Genomic DNA, 21,301 nt, shown 5'->3' on the forward strand with positions numbered 1-21,301 from the left:
GCAATGGAACGGAATGGAATGGAATCGAATCGCATCAAATCAACTGGAATGGAACGGAATGGAATGGAATGGAATGGGAGGTGAGATTGTGCCACTGCGCTCCAGGCAGGGTAACAGAGTGAGATACTCTCGAAAGAAAGGAATGGAATGGAATGCAGTGGAATGGAATGGAATGGAGTGGACTCAAGTGGAGTGGAGTGAAGTGGAGTGGAGTGGAATGGAGAGGAATGGAATGGGATGGAACGGAAAGGAATGCAGTGGAGTGGAATGGAATGGAATGGAGTGGAGTGGTGTGGATTGTAATGGAGTGGAGTGGAATGGAATGGAAAGGAACATCATGGAATGGAGTGGAGTGGAGTGGAGTGGAATGGAATGGAATGGACTCGAATGGAATGGACTCGAATGGAAAGGAATGGACTCGAAGGGAATGGAATGGACTTGAATGGAATCATCATCAAATGGACTCGAATGGAATCATCATCGAATGAAATTGAATGGAATCATCATCGAATGGAATCGAATGGAATCATCATCAAATGAAACCGAACAGAATCATCGAATGGAGTCAAATGGAATCATCATCGAATGGAATCGAATTGAGTCATCGAATGGAATAGAAAGAAATCATGGAATGGAATCGAATTGAATCATCGAATGGACTTGAATGGAAACATCATCGAATGGAATCGAATGGAATCATCATTGAATGGACTTGAATGATATCATCATGAATGGACTCGAATGGAATCATCATCGAATGGACTCGAATGGAATCATCATCCAATGGAATCAAATGGAATCATCATTGAATGGAATCGAATGGAATGCTTTGGAATGGAATGGAATGGAGAGGACTGGAGTGGAGTGGAGTGGAGTCGATTGGTGAGGAGTGGAATGGAGTGGAATGGACTCGGATGTAACGGAATGTAGCGGAATGGAATGGACTCGAATGGAATGGAATGGACTCGAATGGAATCCTCATCGAATGGACTCGAATGGAATCGTCATTGAATGGAATCGAATGGAATCAACATCCAATGGAATCGAATGGAATCCTCATCAAATGGACTCGAATGGAATCATCGACTGGAATCGAATGGAATAATCATCGAATGGACTCGAGTGGAATCATCATTGACTGGAATCGAATGGAATAATCATCGAATGGACTCGAATGGAATCATCATCGAATGGACTCGAGTGGAATCATCATCGAATGGACTCAAATGGAATCAGCATCGAATGGAATCGAAGGGAATCATCATTGAATTGAATCATCGAATGGAATCATCGAATGGAATTGAATGGAATTATCATCGAATGGAATCGAATGGAGTCATCGTCGAATGGAATTGAATGGAATCATCACCAAATGAAATCGAATGGAATCATCGAATGGAATCGAATGAATCATCGAATGGAATTGAATGGAATCATCGAATGGAATCAAATGGAATCATCGAATGGAATCATCTAATGGAATGGAATGGAATGGGAGCTGAGATTGTGCCACTGCGCTGCAGGCTGGGTGACAGAGTGACGTACTCTCTAAAGAATGGAATGGAATGGAATGGAGTGGATTGGAGTGGAGTGAAGTGGAGTGGAGTGGAATGGAATGGAATGCAATGGAATAGAATGCAATGCAGTGCAATTGAAAGTTGACATGTAATGTGAGCTGAGATTGTGCCACTGCACTCCAGGCTGGATGACACAGTGAAAATACTCTTGAAAGAAAGGAATGGAATGGAATGGAGTGGAGTGGAGTGGAGTGGAGTGGAGTGGAGTGGAGTGGAGTGAAGTGGAGTGGAATGGAGAGGAAAGGAATGGAATGGAATGGAATGGAATGAAGTGGAGTGGAGTGGGATGGAGTGGATTGCAGTGGAATGAAGCAGAATGGAATGGGATGGAATGGAAAGGAGTGGAGTGGAGTGCAGTGGGGTAGAGAGGAGTGGAATGGAATCGGATGTAAGGGAATGTAGTGGAGTGGAGAAGAGTGGAGTGGAATGCAGTGGAATGGAATGGAATTGAAAGGAATGGAATGGAATGGAATACAATGGAATAGAATGCAACGCAATGGAAACTTGACATGTAATATGGGGTGAGATTGTGTGACTGCACTCCTGCCTGGGTGCCACAGTGATATGCTGTCGAAACAAAGGAATGGAAAGCAATGGAGAGAAATGGAATGGAGTGGAGTGGAGTGGAGTGGAGTGGAGTGGAGTGGAGTGGAATGGAATGGAATCGAATCGAATTGCATCTAATGGAATGGAATGGAATGGAATGGAATCGAATGGAATCAAACAGAATCAAATGGAATCACATGGAATGGAATGGAATGGGAGCTGACACTGTGCCACTGCACTCCAGGCTGGGTGACAGAGTGAGATACTCTCGAAAGTAAGGAATGGAATGGAATGCAGTGGAATGGAATGGAATGGAGAGGAGTGGAGTGGACTGGAGTGGAGAGGAGTGGAGTGGAGTGCAGTGGAGTTGAGTGGAATGGAATGGAATGGACTTGAAAAAAATGGAATGGAATAGAATGGACTCGAATGGAATCATCATCGAATGGACTCGAATGGAATCATCATTGAATGGACTCGAATGGAATCGTCATCAAATGGACTCGAATGGAATCATCAAATGGAATCATCGAATGGAATCGAATGGAATCATCATCGAATGGAATCATCGAAGGGAATCAAATGGAATCATGGAATGGAATCGAATGGAATCATCATCAAATGGAATCAAATGGAATCATCGAATGGAATCCAATGGAATCATCGAATGGAATCGAATGGAATCATGGAATGGAATTGAATGGAATCATCATGGAATGGAATCGAGTGGAATCATCGAATGGAATCGAACATACTCATCATCGAATGGAATCAAATGGAATCATCGAATGGAATCGAACGGAATCATTGAATGGAATCGGGTGGAATCGTCGAATGGAATCAAACGGAATCATTGAATTGAATCAAATGGAATCATCATCGAATGGAATCAAATGGAATCATCGAATGGAATCGAATGTAATCATCATCGAATGGAATAGAATGGAATCATCGAATGGAATCGAACGGAATCATCATCGAATGGAATCAAACGGAATTATCGAATGGAATCAAATGTAATCATCATCGAATGGAATCAAAATGAATCATTGAATGGAATCGAATCGAATCATCGAATGCAATAGAATGGAATCAAATGGAATCGAATGAAATCATTGAATGGAATCGAATGGAATCATCAAATGCAATTGAATGGAAATGAAACGAATAGAATCAAATGGAATCAAATGAAATCGAATGGAATGGAATAGAATGAGAGCTGAGATTGTGCCACTGCGTGCCAGGCTGAGTGACAGAGTGAGATACCATTGAAAGAACGGAATGGAATGCAATGCAGTGGAAAGGAAAGAAATGGAATGGGGTGGACTGCAGTGGAGTGGAGTGAAGTGGAGTGGAGTGGAATGGAGAGGAATGGAATGGTATGGAATGGAATGCAATGAAGTGGAGTGGAGTGGGGTGGAGTGGATTGCAGTGGAATGGAGTGGAATGAAATGGGATGGAATGGAAAGGAGTGGAGTGGAGTGCAGTGCAGTGGAGAGGAGTGGGATAGAGTGGAATGGAATCGGATGTAATGGAATGTAGTGGAGTGGAGTGGAGTGGAATGGAACGCAGTGGAATGGAATGGAATGCAATGGAATGGAATGGTATGGAATGCAATGGAATAGAATGCATTGCAATGGAAAGTTGATATGTAATGTGAGCTGAGATTGTGCCACTGCACTCCAGCCTGGGTGACACAGTGATATTTTGTCAAAAGAAAGGAATGGAATGCAACAGAGTGAAATGGAATGGAGTGGAGTGGAATGGAGTGGAATGGAAAGGAATCAAATTGAATCAAATCAAATCGAATGGAATGGAATGGAATGGGAGCTGAGATTGTGCCACTGTGCTCCAGACTGGGTGACAGTGTGAGATACTCTCAAGAGAAAAGAATGGAAAGGAATGCAGTGGAATGGAATGGAATGGAGTGGAGTGGAGTGGACTGGAGAGGAGTGGAGAGGAGTGGAGTGGAGTGGAATGGAATGGAATTGAATGGAATGGAATGGACTCAAATTGAATGGAATTGACTCAACTGGAATCATCATCGGATGGACTCGAATGGAATCATCATCGAATGGACTCGAATGGAATCATCATCGAATGGACTCGAATGGAATCATCATCGAATGGACTCGAATGGAATCATCATCGAATGGACTCGAATGGAATCATCATCGAATGGACTCGAATGGAATCATCATTGAATGGACTCGAATGGAATCATCATCGAATGGACTCGAATGGAATCATCATCGGATGGACTCGAATGGAATCATCATTGAATGGACTGGAATGGAATCATCATCCGATGGACTCGAATGGAATAATCATCGAATGGAATCGAATGGAATCCTCGAATGGAATCGAATGGAATCGAATGGAATCATCAAATGGAATTGAATGGAATCATCATCGAATGAAATCAAATGGAATCATCGAATGGAATCGAATGGAATCATCATCAAATGGAATCGAGTGGACTCATCATCAAATGGAATCAAATGAAATCATCAAATGGATCGAAACGAATCATCATTGAATGGAATCGAATGGAATCATCATTGAATGGAATCGAATGGAATCATCATCGAATGGAATCGAATGGAATCATCATCGAATGGAATCATTATCAAATAAAATGGAATGGAATCATTGAATGGAATCGAATGGAATCATCATCGAATGGAATCGAATGGTATCATCAAATGGAATCGAATGGAATCATCATTGAATAGAATCGAATGGAATCATCGAATGGAACTGAATGGAATCATCATTGAATGGAATCGAATGGAATCATCGAATGGAATCGAATGGAATCATCAAATGGAATCGAATGGAATCATCGAATGGAATCGAATCAAATGGAATCGAATGGAATGGACTGGAATGGGAGCTGAATTGTGCCACTGCACTCCAGGCTGGGTGACAGAGTGAGATACTCTCGAAAGAAAGGAATGAAATGGAATGCAGTGGAATGGAATGGAATGGAATGAAGTGGACTGGAGTGGAGTGGAATGCAGTGGAATGGAATGGAATGCAATGCTATGGAATGCAATGGAATAGAATGCAATGCAATGGAAAGTTGACATGTAATTTGAGCTGAGATGGTGCCACTGCACTCAAGCCTGGGTGACACAGTGATATCCTGTCGAAAGAAAGGAATGGAATGCAATGGAGTGAAACGGAATGGAATGGAATGAAGTGGAGTGGAGTGGAGTGCAGTGGAGTGGAGTGGAGTGGAGTGGAATGGAATGGAAGCGAATCGAATCGAATCGAATCGAATGGCTTGGAATGGAATCAAATGGAATGGAATGGGAGCTGAGATTGTGCCACTGTGCTCCAGGCTGGGTGACAGAGTGAGATACTCTCGAAAGAAAGGAATGGAATGGAATGCAGTGGAATGGAGTGGAATGGAATGGAATGGCATGGAGTGGAGAGGAGTGGAATGGAATCGGATGTAATGGAATGTAGTGGAATGGAATGGAATGAAATGGAATGGCATGGAATGGAATGGAATAGACTCGAGTGGAATGGAATGGACTCGAATGGAATCCTCATTGAATAGACCCGAATGGAATCATCATCGAATGGAATCGAATGGAATCAGCATCGAATGGAATCGAATGGAATCATCATCGAATGGAATTGAAGGGAATCATCATTGAATGGAATCATCATAGAATGGAATCGAAAGGAATCATCAACGAATGGAATCGAATGGAATCATCATTGAATTTAATCGAATGGCATCATCAAATGGAATTGAATGGAATCATCGTCGAATTGAATCAAATGGAATCATCATCGAATGGAATCGAATGGAATCATAGAATGGAATCGAATGGAATCATGAAATGGAATCGAATGGAATTATCAAATGGAATCGAATGGAATCATCGAATGGAATCGAATGGAATCGAATGGAATGGAAAGGAATGGGAGCTGAGATTGTGCCACTGCACTCCAGGCTGGGTGACAGAGAGAGATACTCTTGAAAGAAAGGAATGGAATGGAATGCAGTGGAATGGAATGGAGTGGACTGGAGTGGAGTGGAGTGAAGTGGAATGGTGAGGGATGGATTGGGATGGAATGGAATGGAATGAAGTGGAGTGGAGTGGGGTGGAGTGGAGTGCAGTGGAAAGGAGCGGAATGGAATGGGTTGGATTGGAAAGGAGTGGAGTGTATTGCAGTGGAGTGGAGAGGAGTGGAATGGAACAGGATGTAATAGAATGGAGTGGAGTGGAGTGGAATGGAACAGAGTGGAACGGAATGGAATGGAATGGAATGGAATGCAATGGAATGGAGTGGACGAGTGGAGTGGAGTGAAGTGGAGTGGAGCGGAATGGAGAGGAATGGAATGGGATGGAATGGAATGGAATGAAATGGAGTGGAGTGGGGTGGAGTGGAGTGCAGTAGAGTGGAGTGGAGTGCAGTAGAGTGGAGCAGAATGGAATGGGATGGAATGGAAAGGTGTGGAGTGGAGTGCAGTGGAGTGGAGAGGAGTGGAATGGAGTGGAATGGAATCGGATGTAATGGAATGTAGTGGTGTGGAGTGGAGTGGAACGCAGTGGAATGGAATGGAATGGAATGCAATGGAATACAATGCAATGCAATGGAAAGTTGACATGTAACGTGAGCTGAGATTGTGCCACTGCATTCCAGCCTGGGTGAGACAGTGATATCCTGTCGAAAGAAAGGAATGGAATGCAACAGAGTGAAATGGAATGGAGTGGAGTGACGTGCAGTGGAGTGGACTGGAATGTAATTGAATGGAATGGAATGGAATGGAATGGAATGGAATGGGAGCTGAGATTGTGCCACTGCACTCCAGGCTGGGTGACAGAGTGAGGTGCTCTCGAAACAAAGGAATTGAATGGAATGCTGTGGAATGGAATGGAATGGAATGGAGTGGGCTGGAGTGGAGTGGAGTGGAGAAGAGTGGAATGGAGTGGAATGGAATCGGATGTAATGGAATGCAGTGGAATGGAATGGAATGGAGTCGAATGGAATGGAATGGAATGGAATCCTCATCTAATGGACTCTACAAACTTCTTGTTTGTATATGTTGTATATCTTGTTGTAATATGGGTCATAAAATAGAACACATATATCATATGTGATATATGTGAAATATAGCATATAATACGTATTCTCATAAAGCCTTTATTTATTTTGAAATTATAAATCAATCTGAAATGTCACCCAAGAGTTGTGAAGTAAACTTAAGTTCTAGTACTTGTAGTTTCTCTATTCTTTTCCACCTATCTCCATTATCCCATTAATACTTGAAGATAATTCTATTTCCTATTTATAAAATTTATGGAAAAATCTTACCTAGAAGATAAAAAATGAATAACTCTGCACTCAGTATTTCTCTATAATAACTGTACTTTTTATTAAAAGATTACAAATAATATATATACAAGTATCTACACATGTATATATATGCATATGTATATATAAATACCAAAGCAAAAGAGATACAGTATATAGTATATCAGTTAATAATATGGATTCTGAAGCCAGGATGATTTTTAATCTGGTTTTCCCCGTTTCCTGCTATGTGAACACTTGCAAGTGATTTAATTTTGATGGTATTTAGTTTTCTAATTTATAATATGGGTCATAAAATAGAACACATATATCATATGTGATATATGTGAAATATAGCATATAATACGTATACTTTGGGGACTTAGGTACAACAAAGGACAACTTGATTTATTCCTCCCTCTTCCTGCTCAACCTACTTTGGAGACATGTTCTTTGTCTTTTGATAAAATTCAAGGCAAATACCGTGACTTGTCTTTTGGTTCTCTGGTACTGAAAAGTATTCCCAGGAATTAAGGTCAACACACAGACTCATTTTAATAAAATGTCCAGTTCCTTGGAAGTTCAAAACTTTGAAAAGTTAAAGCTTCTCATTCTATACTGAACTATTTTAATATTAAAGAGCCTGTAGGGAAAGCATCTAAAATAAGTTTCTTTTCTATTTTCCCCACCATATTATTCTTCTCTTCTCTCACTGTGATTCCACTAGGACACAGTGGTGAGGTCAGAGAGGGTGATAAATGCATGGATATCATTAAGAGCATCCATAGAAGATGGCTTTATTCTGGTTGTAGCATTTCTGTATGGTCTTTGGACAATACCTGTCTTGTCACTGAGGGGTCCCTCACATGCAGTGACAGTCTTTGGTACATTCTTGTAGGTCACTTAGAAGTGTTCTTGCTCAACTTCTAGGGATTCAACTGTACTCCTCTTCCTCTATATTTGGAAGGATATGTTTTTTGTTTTGTTTTGTTTTGTTTTCCAGATGGTGTTTCTAACATGTTGGTTAAATAATTCAGGTTCATTACATCAATGGGAAGCATTAAACCTTAATCCATGACCATTGTGAGTGCAGCTACTTTTCAATCGATGTTAGTTTTGAATTTCACTGTGTCAAGACAGTCAAGCTAGTTTCTTAATCCTTTGAAACAATAGGGAGTGAATCACGTACCAAATACTGTTTTCTCCCAATTCCAGTGAACATATACAAACACTCTTTATTTTTCCCATGAGACTTGATATAAGAAGGAAGTTTCTCAATCCCTACACTAAAAGGACTTTGGAAAGACCCAAAGCTCACCAACAACTCCCTGTTAATTTCTAGGCTCTTTTATGATTGCTCAAGTCTTTCTTCAACTGAATTTGGGGGAGGATGTAGTTAGCTACAGATCACACAACAGATTGTCACATAGTACATTTGAAAATCTTGCTTAGATAGTCTCTTTCTCTTTTTGGAAATTTGTTATAACTTGTCACCTATGCTATTGCTTGGTAGTTTGTGTGTCACTGAACACCAGCTTGAAATTACTTTCATTGTGATGTCCTACTATATGTTCTTATATTTAAATACACAGAAGCAGTTATATAGAATAGAAATATTAAAGCATTGTTATTCTGAAAAATATAGATTGCATAGGGGAGAAGGGCTGATAAAGTATAGAAAATTATATTATTTGCAATTGATTTTATTCATTATGAGGAATAACAATGCATAGATTAGAAGAAAAAATAATGTGTTGCCTCAATTACGAAGCTTTAACTAATTTCCCCTTAGGTCAGTCCAAAAATTCCAAGAAGAAATCAGATAGCTGCCTAATACTGGGTGTTTGAATATCCTTGAAAATACATGTGGTCAGTAAGCCAAAAAGATAATTCCGTAAAAACTACAAAGCCATTAATTTCTACTATTATTTATCCTATTTTTTTCTCTCTCTTTCCCTACCTTGTCTCCTGTCTGGCTACTTATCTATTTTGCCTACTTATCTATTTATCTATCCATTATCTCTTCTATCCCTATGTTGCAAGCCATTCACAAAAATAGAACCCACCCACTGGGATAAAATACTCATGTTTATAGCATTATTTAAAGGCTTCTAGAGCTTTACACATATTACCTCATTAATTTTCACAATATCCTGCAAAGTGAGTAGGTGGAAACTATTTCTCATTTTATGGTTGGATAAAATAAGATGCTGTAAACTTACCAAAGAGACACACATAGGAATAAATACAGGAAATCAAATGATATGATTTTAAAAATTATAGATTAATTGCTTGCCTAATGTTATCTTAGAAGTTATTTTTCTGTGTTGTGATCTATTCAGAAGTTCTTGAACTATCGATAAAATTAAAGCTATTATTTCTATATTTTTATAATATGCTAATAAATGGAGAATCTTATCAAATGTAATAGATATAGTAATAAAATAGCCATTAGATGGGGTGCTTATTCTGTGGCAGGGCATTCTTGCAGTATCTAGTTTTACATTCACAGCAACCTTACCATTTTAATTCTCTATTGCAGTAAAAGAAATTATACTGGGATAATTTGTTATCCCAAAACTTTGCAGCTTAAAATAACCATTTACTCTCTCACACAATTTCTGAGTTCAGAACTCTGGGAGAATCTTAACTGGATGGTTTTACCTCAAGGTGCAAGGTTTACAAGGTTGCAGTAAACCTGTTGATTGAAGCTGCCGTTTCATTTGAAGGTTCAATTGAGGGAGGATCCATTTCTAAACTAACTCACATTATTAGCGTCATTCAGTTTCTGGAAGGTTGCTGGACTGAGGAAAACAGCTCCTTGCTGGCTGTTGGCCAGAGGCCTCTCTCAGTTCCTTGCTGTACCTTCATAGACAGCATATATTTCACCTTTCTGAGATCTTTACAAGTAATTTTACAGTTACCGTCAGCTTTATCTTTAGATCAAGGGTTTCTGGCATTGCTCTAAATTTGATTTTTTCTCAGAAACCATTTCTTATTACTTTTATTATCAGTTGCCCTCTGGAGAGGCTATTTTCAAAATCAGCGAGTTCTGGCTCCAACTTTTTCATCAGTCTTTCTTTTACTTTCTCTCTCTCTCTCTTTTTTTTTTTTCTTTTGAGATGGAGTTTGGCTCTTGTTGCCCAGGCTGGAGTGCAGTGGCATGATCTTGGCTCACTGTAACCTCTGCCTCCTGGGTTCAAGCAATTCTCTGGCCTCAGCCTCCCAAGTAGCTGTGATTATAGGCATGCACCACCCCTCCTGGCTAATTTTGTATTTTTAGCAGAGATGGGGTTTCTCCATGTTGCTAGGGCTGGTATCGGATTCCCGACCTCAGATTATCTGCCCGCCTTGGCCTCCCAAAGTGCTGCGATTACAGGCGTGAGCCACCATGCCCAGCCTACTTTCTCTCTTTAACCTTGCCTGTTGGTATAAGCAACAAGAAGGAAGTAGGTGTCACCTTCAATATTCTGGCTGAAAATCTACTTAGCAAATTATCCAGCATTTTAGGTACATTTTTTATTTTCTACGTGTACTAGATTTTAAGGCTGCCATAGCAAATTATAACAGATCTTTTGCCTTAAAACAATAGAAATTTATTTTTTCATAATCCTGAAGCCTAGAAGTCTGAGATCAAGGTGTTGGTAAGATTGATTTCTTGCAAGGCCCCTTTCCTTGGCCTGTAGATGGCTGTCTTCTTCTGTTGTTTCCACATAATCCTGCCTCTGTCTCTATCTTAATCTCTTCTTCTTATAAGACACAAGTAATATTGAATTAGGGGCCACCCATATTACCTATCCTAACCATAAGTACCACTTTAAAGGCCCCATCTCCAAATATGGTCATGTTCTGAGGTATTAGGGGTTAGGAGTTCAACTTCCATCTTTTGTAGGACAGAATTCAACCTCAAACACCACAAAATTGAAGCAGTAGTATTGATAAACTTCTGCTATTACATAACAAAAATCCTCTTTCCTCCAGTTTTAAATAAGAGTTACCTCATTCACCTGTAGGCATTACAAATAACCTTACGAAAGAACATTGGGATTCTATTAACGATTTACTTAACATACCTTAGGCATTTTTTGTTTGTTTGTTTTGTTTTTTCACATTCTCTCCTCCAAGTCCACTAAGGAATTCAAAGTTATTCCTACATTTTAGGGTGTTCTTTCAACAACATCTCGCTTATAGGTACTGAAATACATACTAAGCATTTATTGCAACATAATATATTGCTCTAACACTCATCAGCTTTAAACAATGCAAATTGATTATCTCACACAATTTCTGAGGGTCAAAAATCTAGGAGAAGTTTGTCTGGGTATTTCTGGTTCAGGATCTCTCACTGGGTTGCAACCAAGCCGTTGACCAGAGATGAACCTTGAAAAAACTTTGAGTTAGACTAGAAATTTCCCTTCCAAATTCAATCAAATGGTTGTTTGTAGATACCAGTTCGGGTAAAACTCATCAATGATAATAAATGTTTTAATAAAATAGCTGTAGGTAATATTGATTAAGTACATTTTCAAGAGCTTGTGCACTGCTTAATTTTACACTCACAATAAACTTACCATGTTAATATTATTCCATGCCCATGTTATAGCTAAAGTTATTAAACAAAGGAACTGTGCATGGTTACACAAGCAGAGACGGAAGAACTGAAACTTGAAATCAAATGGTTTTAAATATTGAAAGCCTCAAATGTACTTATATCACTTTCCTATCCAGAATGGCTTGATAGGCCTGGCGTGGTGGATCACGCCTGTAATCCCAGCACTTTGGGACGTCGAGGCAGGTGAATCACCTGAGTTCAGGAGTTTGAGCCCAGCCTTGAAGATGGCAAAACACGGTCTCTACAGGCATGATGGCTCACGCCTGTAGTTTCAGCTACTTGGGAGGCTGAGACACAAGAATCACTGGAACCCGGGAGGCGGTGGTTGCAGTCAGCTGTCATCATGCCACTGCACTCCAGCCTGGGTGACAGAGTGAGGCTTCATCGTGGAAAAAAAAAAATCCTTGATGGTTTCTACTTTGACAGAAAATAGGAAAAAAGACATAAAAATAAAAGCAGAAAAAAGGAACATTGCATAATCATGTATGCAATGAAATCACTCTAAACCTAATATTTTGTTAAAAAAAAGTGATTGTAAAGAAAACTATATGAAATAGAAGAAAATAAAGTTAATAATTTTTTCTACAAACTATCTCCACTGGATTATAATTCATTATTGTCTTTAATATAAAGTATGGTTGACTTTTTAAAAATAAATATGGCTGTATCCATGGGTTTGTTTTTATAAAAATGTGTGCATGTGTACTTTATTAGGTAACATCTGGCTTTGTCATTAAGAATTTTAGTTTCAAGAGGATTCAAAATATAGGAAATAAAAAAATTAAGTCCAAATTTAAAAGTTATAAACATGTTCTTTGTTGTTGTGTTTGTTTTGAGATGGAGTCTCACACTGTAACCCAGGCTGATGTGCAGTGGCACAATCTTGGCTCGCTGCAACCTCCGCCTCCCTAGATCAAGCGACTCTTCTGCCTCAGCCTCCAGAGTAGCTAGAATTACAGGCGCCCGCCACCACGCCAGGCTAATTTATTGTATTTTTAGTAGAGATAGGGTTTCACTGTGTTGGCCAGGTTGGTCTCCAACTCCTGACCTCGTGATCTGCCCACCTCCCAAAGTGCTGGGATTACAGGCATGAGCCATCACATACGGCCCTAAAAGTTACAAACATGTTCATAACTTTTTGTTATAAAGAAACAAAATTGATGAGATAGTGCTGGGGTAGAGGTGTATGTGTGAGTGTGTATATGATAAAATAAGAAATAGAAAAAAATAGAATATTAAAAATATAAGCAATATTGGCTCTATGCCAGTCCAAGTCTTAACCTAGAGAATGAATTTATAGGGAAGGAGAAAACAAAAACACATATTCTGCCCTTGACAACCCCTGGGAAAATTATTCTCCGTAATCATACTCCTTTAATGTTACTATTACTTTGATTCAAAATTCAGTCTCTTTTACATACATTATAAAGTTATCATTCCTTGCATATCTTTATTTTGATTTTTTTAAATACACTTGGCTTTAAAGAAGTATTGTATTAAGAATTGTTACAAGTATAGTGCAAAGATCCAGTCTATCTTCACACCCAATTTCTCCTATTACTAATATCTTAGTAGGACACAGTTTTCATAGTTAATAAATCAATTAGTACATTATTACTTCCTTAACTTTATTGAAGTATAACTAACAAATAAAAATTGTATATATTTAAGATGTACCATGTTTTGATACATTGAGGTGATGCCCAGAATCAAACTAATTAGTATATGTCACATATATGTGGAATAAAAAGAAGCTGTATTCATATAAATGAGAGTAGAAAGGCTGTTGCCAGAGGCTAGGGGAGTGAAGAAAATGGGGACATTTTGGTCAAAGGGTACAAACTTTAAGTTATAAGATGAATGAGCTCTGGAGATCTAATCTACAGCATGTTAACTATAATTTATAAATTATTAGAAATTAAATACTTTATTTCTTCCTCGAGTTTTCCAGTTACTTATCCAAGTTACCATATTACTTTTACTCAACATCTCTACAAAGGCTCAGCTTGGTTATGACAGTTTCTTAGACTTTCTTTGTTTTTTACGACCTTGATAAATTTGAAGATCATTGGTCAGGTATATTGGCATTTTGTATAACTTTTTGTCTGTTGTTTTTCTTATGATTAGATTTGAGTAATGTATCTTTAGGGCAAAGATCTTAGAGGTAAAGTGCTATTCTAAACATATCAGGTTATGTCAAATGTACATACTATCAATATGACTTGTAACTATTGATCTTTTTAAATATAAACTTTTATTTTAGGTTCAAGACTATATAACAGAGTTTGTTACATAGATAAACTGGTGGCATGGGGGTTTGTTGTACAGATTACTTCATCACCCAGGTATTAAGCCCAGCATACAATAATTATCTTTACTGCTCCTTTCCCTTCTCCAACCCTCCACATTCAATTAGACTACAGTGTCTGTTGTTTCCTTCTTTGGGTTTATATGTTTTCATCATGTAGCTCCCACTTATCAGTGAGAATACACAGTATTTGGTTTTCTGCTCCTGTGTTAGTTTGCTAAGGATAATAGCCTGCAACTCCATACATGTTCTCATAAAAGACATGATTTCATTCTTTTTTATGGCTGCATAGTATTCCATTGTGCATATGTACCATATTTTTATAATCCAGTGTGCTATTGATGGGCATTTAGGTTGATTCTATGTCTTTGCTATTGTGAATAGTGCTACAATGAACATTCACATGCATGTGTCTATGGTAGAATGATGTACATTTCTGTCTTTATCATAGAGTGATATATGTATTTCTCTGGGTATATACTCACTAATGGGATTGCTGTGTTGAATGGTAGTTCTGCTTTTAGCTCTTTGAGAAATTGCCATACTGCTTTCCACAATGGTTGAACTTATTTACATTCACACCAACAGTGTACACGTTCCCTTTTATCTGCAACCTTATCAGTATCTGCTTTTTTTTGACTTTTTAATAATAGCCATTCTGATTGGTGTGATACGTGGTTTTGATTTGCATTTGTCTAATAGTCATATTGAGCTTTTTTTCATATACTTCTTGTCTACATGTATAGCTTTTGAAAAATCGTATGTTCATATCCTTTGTCCACTTTTTAATGGAGTTGTGATATGGTTTAGCTGTGTCCCCACCCAAATCTCATCTTTAATTGTAGCTCCAATAATTCCCAGATGTGGTGGGAGGGACCCAGTGAGAGGTAATTAAATCACGGGAGTGGTTCTTTCCCATGCTGTTCTCATGATAGTGATTAAGCCTCACAAGATCTGATGGTTTTATAAAGGGGAATTCCCCTACACAGCTCCCTTGCCTGTTGCCCTGTAAGATGTGACTTCACTCCTTATTCACCTTCAGCCATGATTGTAAGGCCTCCCCAGCCATGTGGAACACTGAGTCAATCACATTTCTTTCCTTTATAAATTACCCAGTCTCAAGTATGACTTCATTAGCAGCATGTGAACAGACTAACACAGTAAATTGGTAACTTACCTGTGGAAAGTACAAATAGACTTTTGTAGTCAAGGAAGACATGTTCCATGACAGAATTATACACAAATTATTTTGCAAACACATAGAAGCATCACTAAAGCCGGCTCAGAAATATAAAGATAGCATCTCAGAGGACATTATATCACAGCTGAATCAAGAAAAATTATAGGAAAACATAGAAGGCTTGAGTAAATGTTCCAGAGAAAACATCATGATCATGAACAAAGATTGGAGGGTAAGAGTGTGAGGAATTCAGAATAATACAAATACCTGAAGATGGCCAGAGTGCAAGAGGCCAGAAAGACAGGTGGTTGACGGAAGTATGAGTATAATCAATAACAAGGAAGTCAGCCTTATTAAAATGTTTTCTTATTAGTTTTTGTTACAATTTATAAACTTATGATTATATATGTTTTAACACATTTTACATGTGATTTTTAAATTTTTATAATAAGGATTAAATTACTCGTTAACTCAGTTAATCAATCAGGTATTTAAGGATGGCTTTATTTGACAGTGTGTGTGGCTTATTGAATTAATATGGACAAATAATCTCATCATCCAAATTACTTATATGTCTGAATACTTATATATACATATACATATATATATACTTATGTACGTCATAATTATGTGTACATGTCATTATATATGTGTATATCTTTAAAAATAAGGAAATATTATACTAGAATTAAGTGAAGATAAACACTGAAGGAACATTGCAAAATACTAATCTTATATTTGTTAAAATTGCATTTTCACTGCATTCAGAAAAATGTCAAGAATAATGCATTAAAATATTAAAATGGCACAGAATATTTACTGTAGCATCAAAAATGTTGTGTAATCTCAAACTAAACTGTGTAACACATTTCAAAAAATAACATTTAAATGTAGGTCTGAATGAATATGCAACTTTAGTGTTTTTGGTCTCAGAAGGAAAAAGTAAATGATAATACAGTATTCTATAATAATGTAACATAACTCACTTCTAATGAATATTGGAATAAAGACACAATCTCATTAAAATAATCATAATTTCAGTTAATATTGGCATCACACTGTTCCTGGACCAAACTGAGGGTGGGGCTGCTATTTCTCACTGCCTAATAATGAGATGCAGATGAAGTGAGGAGAAAGAGTGTTTTCATTTCTGCAACCAGTTACAGAGAGGCGGCTTGAAAATTATCTCCTGACCAACTCAAAATTGCAAAGTTTTCCAGAGCTTGTATAGCTTCTAAGCTATATTTCTATGCATAGGTGTGCATTCATCTAAAGACATAAGTGATTAACTTCTTTTAACCTATAACTAAGGTCTGAGTCCTGAAGACCTTCTTCTGGAGCTTCAGTAACTATACTTAATTTAAATGGGTCCAGGCACTGGGGTGATTACTCTTGTCTTGTCTCCTGCTAATTCACAAAGGTTTGGGGAGTTCCTGCAGACTCCCAATAAGCTTGTTTAATCATGCTTTAAGGTTCAGGAAAGGCCTAGGCAAAACTCGTGGTTGTCTCTTATGACATTCTAGCCTTTGTGTAAGGGCACTGGCTTTTAATATTTAACTTAACCACTCAGTCAGTGCTGAAACATTTGTTATGGAGGCCTGCCTTAGTGAGACCTGGCCTGCCACAAAACAAGAGAAAAAATAAGACAATTGAATCATAGTGTCAACCTAAAATATTCGAAAGGATCAGAATTCAGTTTTTTAACGTTTGGTCAAACAAAAAGCTGGAATTAGGCATTTGGTGAAAAGATTCCAGAGAAATGGAGCCAGTGCTGCTAAGTTTTTGCTTATATAGGCAGAAAATAAAATTTAATGGGCTTACAACATTGTGTGTACATGGCTGGTTTATGAGTTACAACAATTTAGTTACGGCTTGTTTTCTTTTTTCTTTTTTTTTTTGAGACGGAGTCTTGTTCTGTCACCCAGGCTAGAATGCAGCAGCACGATCTAAGTTCACTGCAAGCTCTGTCTCCCGGGTTCACGCCATTCTCCTGCCTCAACCTCCCGAGTAGCTGGGACTACAGGCGCCTGCGACCACGCCCAGCTATTTTTTTTTTTGCATTTTTAGTAGAGACGGGTTTCTCTGTGTTAGCTAGGATGGTCTTGATATCCTGACCTCGTGATCCGCCCGCCTCGGCTCCCAATCTTTTCTTTGTATCTAGTTTTTATTTTTTTTTCCAAGTTAGAAGAATGCACTTAACATTCCATTATAAGACCATGTGACAGCCATGAAGTCTTTGAGCAAAGCAGGAGGGCAGTTAATCTACCATGAAGGTGAACAATGAAGAAGGAAGGGATCTTCCATGGTGCCCTTTAGCCATTTACAACATTTTACAAAACAATGTAAGGAAGGAAGAAGACTAATCTATAATCAGGAAAACAAAGGGTATAGCTGCCTAGGTTCCAGCTAGCTACCTGCCGTATGACTCAGGCTCCATAATCACATTCCTTTAAGGCTCAAAGGAATTTAAAATTTCAACAACATAGATTTCAAATTATTCTCACAATATACATTAAAATGTATTAACATTGAGATTATTCAGTTTAAAATTTGTTATTAATAAGGCCAACATTTTGTATATATCATTGATTAAACAGAAGAGAGAAATAGCTCTGAGTGGCAAAAACAGTGTTTTTCCCCTGCTTTTCTACCACAACAATCAACACAGACATCTTTTAACAAATGTGTGGGGGATTTTTCCTACATACCAAGCAAGCAGTCAGTTATACAGTAGACACTAATGGGGTTTGTGATAGTATTGATCGGAAGACAGTGACAGATCCCATAGGTTGGAAGCTCAGTCCCACAAGACTGCCTCCTCTTCTATAACCAATCTCAATCCTCAGGTTGTTTTTCCTAGGCTTCTGACCGACTGAGTATAAATTCAGGTTCTCATGATCTTCTTCTTGGGTTCCATTAATTTGCGAGAGGGCCCTGCACAACTCAGGAAAAGATTTACTTACATTACTGGCTTATGATCAAGATGATTACAAAGGATGCAGATGAAAGAGTTGCATAGAGCAAGACTGTGGGAAATGGTGTGCATCTTCTATGCCCTCCATAGGCATATTCTGCTCTCCAGAAACCTTCATGTGTTCACCTATCCTGAAGCTCTCCAAAACCTGTCCTTTGGGGATTTCATGCGTGCCTTGTTATTAGATGTGATTGATTAAACTAGTGGCCATTAATAATCAACTTAACCTTCAGCCCTCGCTTCCCTCCCCAGAAGCTGGAGTGTGGGTCTCGAAGTCCCAACCCTGTATTCCTGCCTTTGTCTTTCAGGTGACTAGCCCTTCCTGAAGTTACCTAGAAGCTGCCAACCATCAGTAAGCTCATTAGCATACAAAAATACATAATTCTGGATATTCCAGATTGTATGCCAGGAAACAGAATCAAAGACCAAATATGTATTTTACAATATCAGTATAGCCCAGGCTGAAGGCAGCCATAAAATTAATGTAAAAAATAAAATATAATAAATACATACATTTTATAGAAAATAATGTTATAACACATTTTAATGGTGGTAATAAAGTGTAAAAAGTTGCTCAAATTTGAAATAGAAAAAACAATTATGATCAGATATTTTCTGATATCTCAATTATGTAATTAAAACTTTATATTCTCGCCGGGCGCGGTGGCTCACGCCTGTAATCCCAGCACTTTGGGAGGCCGAGGCGGGTGGATCATGAGGTCAGGAGATCGAGACCATCCTGGCTAACAAGGTGAAACCCCGTCTCTACTAAAAATACAAAAAATTAGCCGGGCGCGGTGGCGGGCGCCTGTAGTCCCAGCTACTCGGGAGGCTGAGGCAGGAGAATGGCGTGAACCCGGGAAGCGGAGCTTGCAGTGAGCCGAGATTGCGCCACTGCAGTCCGCAGTCCGACCTGGGCGACAGAGCGAGACTCCATCTCACAAAAAAAAAAAAAAAAAAAAAAAAAAAAAAAAAAAAAACTTTATATTCTCCAAGCCTTTAAGGCAATGTTTCCTAACCACCCTGTGTTTCAGAATTTGCTTGGGAGTCTTGAAAAAATACACATCTTGAGCTGTACTCCAACTTTCTGAATCAGGTTATCCTGGGCAGCTATCATGCATCTTTAATGTTCTAAAAGCCCATCATTTTTCATTTTCTAAAAGCCCATATTTATTGTTGTAGCATCAAAAATGTTGTGTAGTATCAAATTAAACTGTGTAACACATTTCAAAAAATAAAATTTCAATGTAGGGCTGAATGAATATGCAACTTTAGTGCTTTCGGTCTCAGAAGGAAAAAGTAAATGATAATACAGTATTCTGTAATAATGTAACATAACTCACTTCTAATGAATATTAGAATAAAGACACAATCTCATTTAAATAATCATAATTTCAGTTAATATTGGCATCAAACTGTTCCTGGACCAAACTGAGGGTCCGGCTGCTATTTCTCACTGCCCAATAACAAGATGCAGATGAACTGGGGAGAAAGAGTTATTTCTGTAACCAGTTACAGAGAGAAGGCCTGAAAATTACCTCCTGACCAACTCAAAATTATAAAGTTTTCCAGAGCTTATGTAGCTTCTAAGCTAAATTTCTGTGTGTAAGTGTGCATTTAGTACTTTAATGTTCTAAAGGCCCATCAATTTTCTGTTGATCAGAACTGAGTCAAGAACCATGTTTCTAAGGATACTTTTTCTTATTTCCCAGAGAAGGTACGAAGATTTCTAGTGGAAAAACTTCTTCTAGAGTTTCAAAGAAGATCTATATGATTGATTTGTTGGTGATAATATAGACAATGTTGATGGCTGAGATATTTGGATTACATTGTCTTTGTGTGCCTATATGATTCCTCAAGACTTAGCTAATTTTCCACTTACATAGTTACCTATTATAAACAATACAAATTAAGATCATTTAGATTGAAGAAAAATAAATTTCTATTTAATTAAATTCTCTACCTCTGGGTCAACATATATAGTTGTGTCTTCATCTTTTTGAACAATTACAGACGTGTTGTTTTAACAATGAGAATGTGTTCTGAGAAATGTGTCCTTAGACAATTTCATAACGGTGGGAACATCATAGGGTGTAGTTACACAAACCTAGATGGTATAGCCTACTACTTTTCTAGGCTATATGGTACAGCCTTTTGCTCCTAAGCTACAAACCTATATAGCATGTTACTCTACTGAATACTGTAGACAATTATAATACAAAGGTAAATATCTGTATATCTAAACATACAAAAGGTACACTAAAAATAAGGCATAAAAGACAAAAATGGTATGCTTGAAAGGGGCACTTACTGTGACAGGAGCTTGCAGGACTGGGAAGTTACTCTGGGTAAGTCAGCGAGTTAGTGGTGAGTGAATGTGCAGGCCTGAGACATTATTGTACACTATTGTAGACTTTATGGACACTCTACACTTAGGCTGCACTACTTTTCTTTAAAAAACATTTTTATTCAATAATAAATTAACCTTCACTAACTATAACTTTTTTACTTTACAGACTTATTTTGAGTATTCTCTATTAACACTTCAAACACAAACACATTATACAAATTTACAAAAATATTTTAAGATTCTTATTGTGTAAGCTTATATTCTATTTTTAATTTTCTTAAAGGTTTTGAATTTTTGCTAAAAATTAAGACACAAACACACATATTAGCTTAAGCCTTCAATGGGTCAGGATCATTAATATTATTCTTTCAAATTCCCTGTTTTGACCCACTGGAAGGTCTTCAGGGGCAATAACACCAATGGAGCTAGTCAGCTGTTATA

The 21,301-nt window shown here is 38.0% G+C and overlaps 6 annotated features.

Moving 5' to 3' along the window:
• Positions 1,341-2,319: an enhancer, noted in NCBI's record as "OCT4-NANOG hESC enhancer chr7:57551016-57551994 (GRCh37/hg19 assembly coordinates)". NCBI's record gives its function as "activates a minimal SCP1, AML or CMV promoter by ChIP-STARR-seq in naive H9 embryonic stem cells {active_cell/tissue: H9 hESC(naive)}" and the evidence as "EXISTENCE:reporter gene assay evidence [ECO:0000049][PMID:30033119]".
• Positions 2,320-3,298: an enhancer, noted in NCBI's record as "OCT4-NANOG hESC enhancer chr7:57551995-57552973 (GRCh37/hg19 assembly coordinates)". NCBI's record gives its function as "activates a minimal SCP1, AML or CMV promoter by ChIP-STARR-seq in naive H9 embryonic stem cells {active_cell/tissue: H9 hESC(naive)}" and the evidence as "EXISTENCE:reporter gene assay evidence [ECO:0000049][PMID:30033119]".
• Positions 3,345-3,976: an enhancer, noted in NCBI's record as "OCT4-NANOG hESC enhancer chr7:57553020-57553651 (GRCh37/hg19 assembly coordinates)". NCBI's record gives its function as "activates a minimal SCP1, AML or CMV promoter by ChIP-STARR-seq in naive H9 embryonic stem cells {active_cell/tissue: H9 hESC(naive)}" and the evidence as "EXISTENCE:reporter gene assay evidence [ECO:0000049][PMID:30033119]".
• Positions 3,977-4,607: an enhancer, noted in NCBI's record as "OCT4-NANOG hESC enhancer chr7:57553652-57554282 (GRCh37/hg19 assembly coordinates)". NCBI's record gives its function as "activates a minimal SCP1, AML or CMV promoter by ChIP-STARR-seq in naive H9 embryonic stem cells {active_cell/tissue: H9 hESC(naive)}" and the evidence as "EXISTENCE:reporter gene assay evidence [ECO:0000049][PMID:30033119]".
• Positions 4,608-5,239: an enhancer, noted in NCBI's record as "OCT4-NANOG hESC enhancer chr7:57554283-57554914 (GRCh37/hg19 assembly coordinates)". NCBI's record gives its function as "activates a minimal SCP1, AML or CMV promoter by ChIP-STARR-seq in naive H9 embryonic stem cells {active_cell/tissue: H9 hESC(naive)}" and the evidence as "EXISTENCE:reporter gene assay evidence [ECO:0000049][PMID:30033119]".
• Positions 5,240-5,870: an enhancer, noted in NCBI's record as "OCT4-NANOG hESC enhancer chr7:57554915-57555545 (GRCh37/hg19 assembly coordinates)". NCBI's record gives its function as "activates a minimal SCP1, AML or CMV promoter by ChIP-STARR-seq in naive H9 embryonic stem cells {active_cell/tissue: H9 hESC(naive)}" and the evidence as "EXISTENCE:reporter gene assay evidence [ECO:0000049][PMID:30033119]".

This window comes from Homo sapiens, chromosome 7 (genome assembly GCF_000001405.40).
Source record: "Homo sapiens chromosome 7, GRCh38.p14 Primary Assembly".
Taxonomy (NCBI): Eukaryota; Metazoa; Chordata; class Mammalia; order Primates; family Hominidae; genus Homo; species Homo sapiens.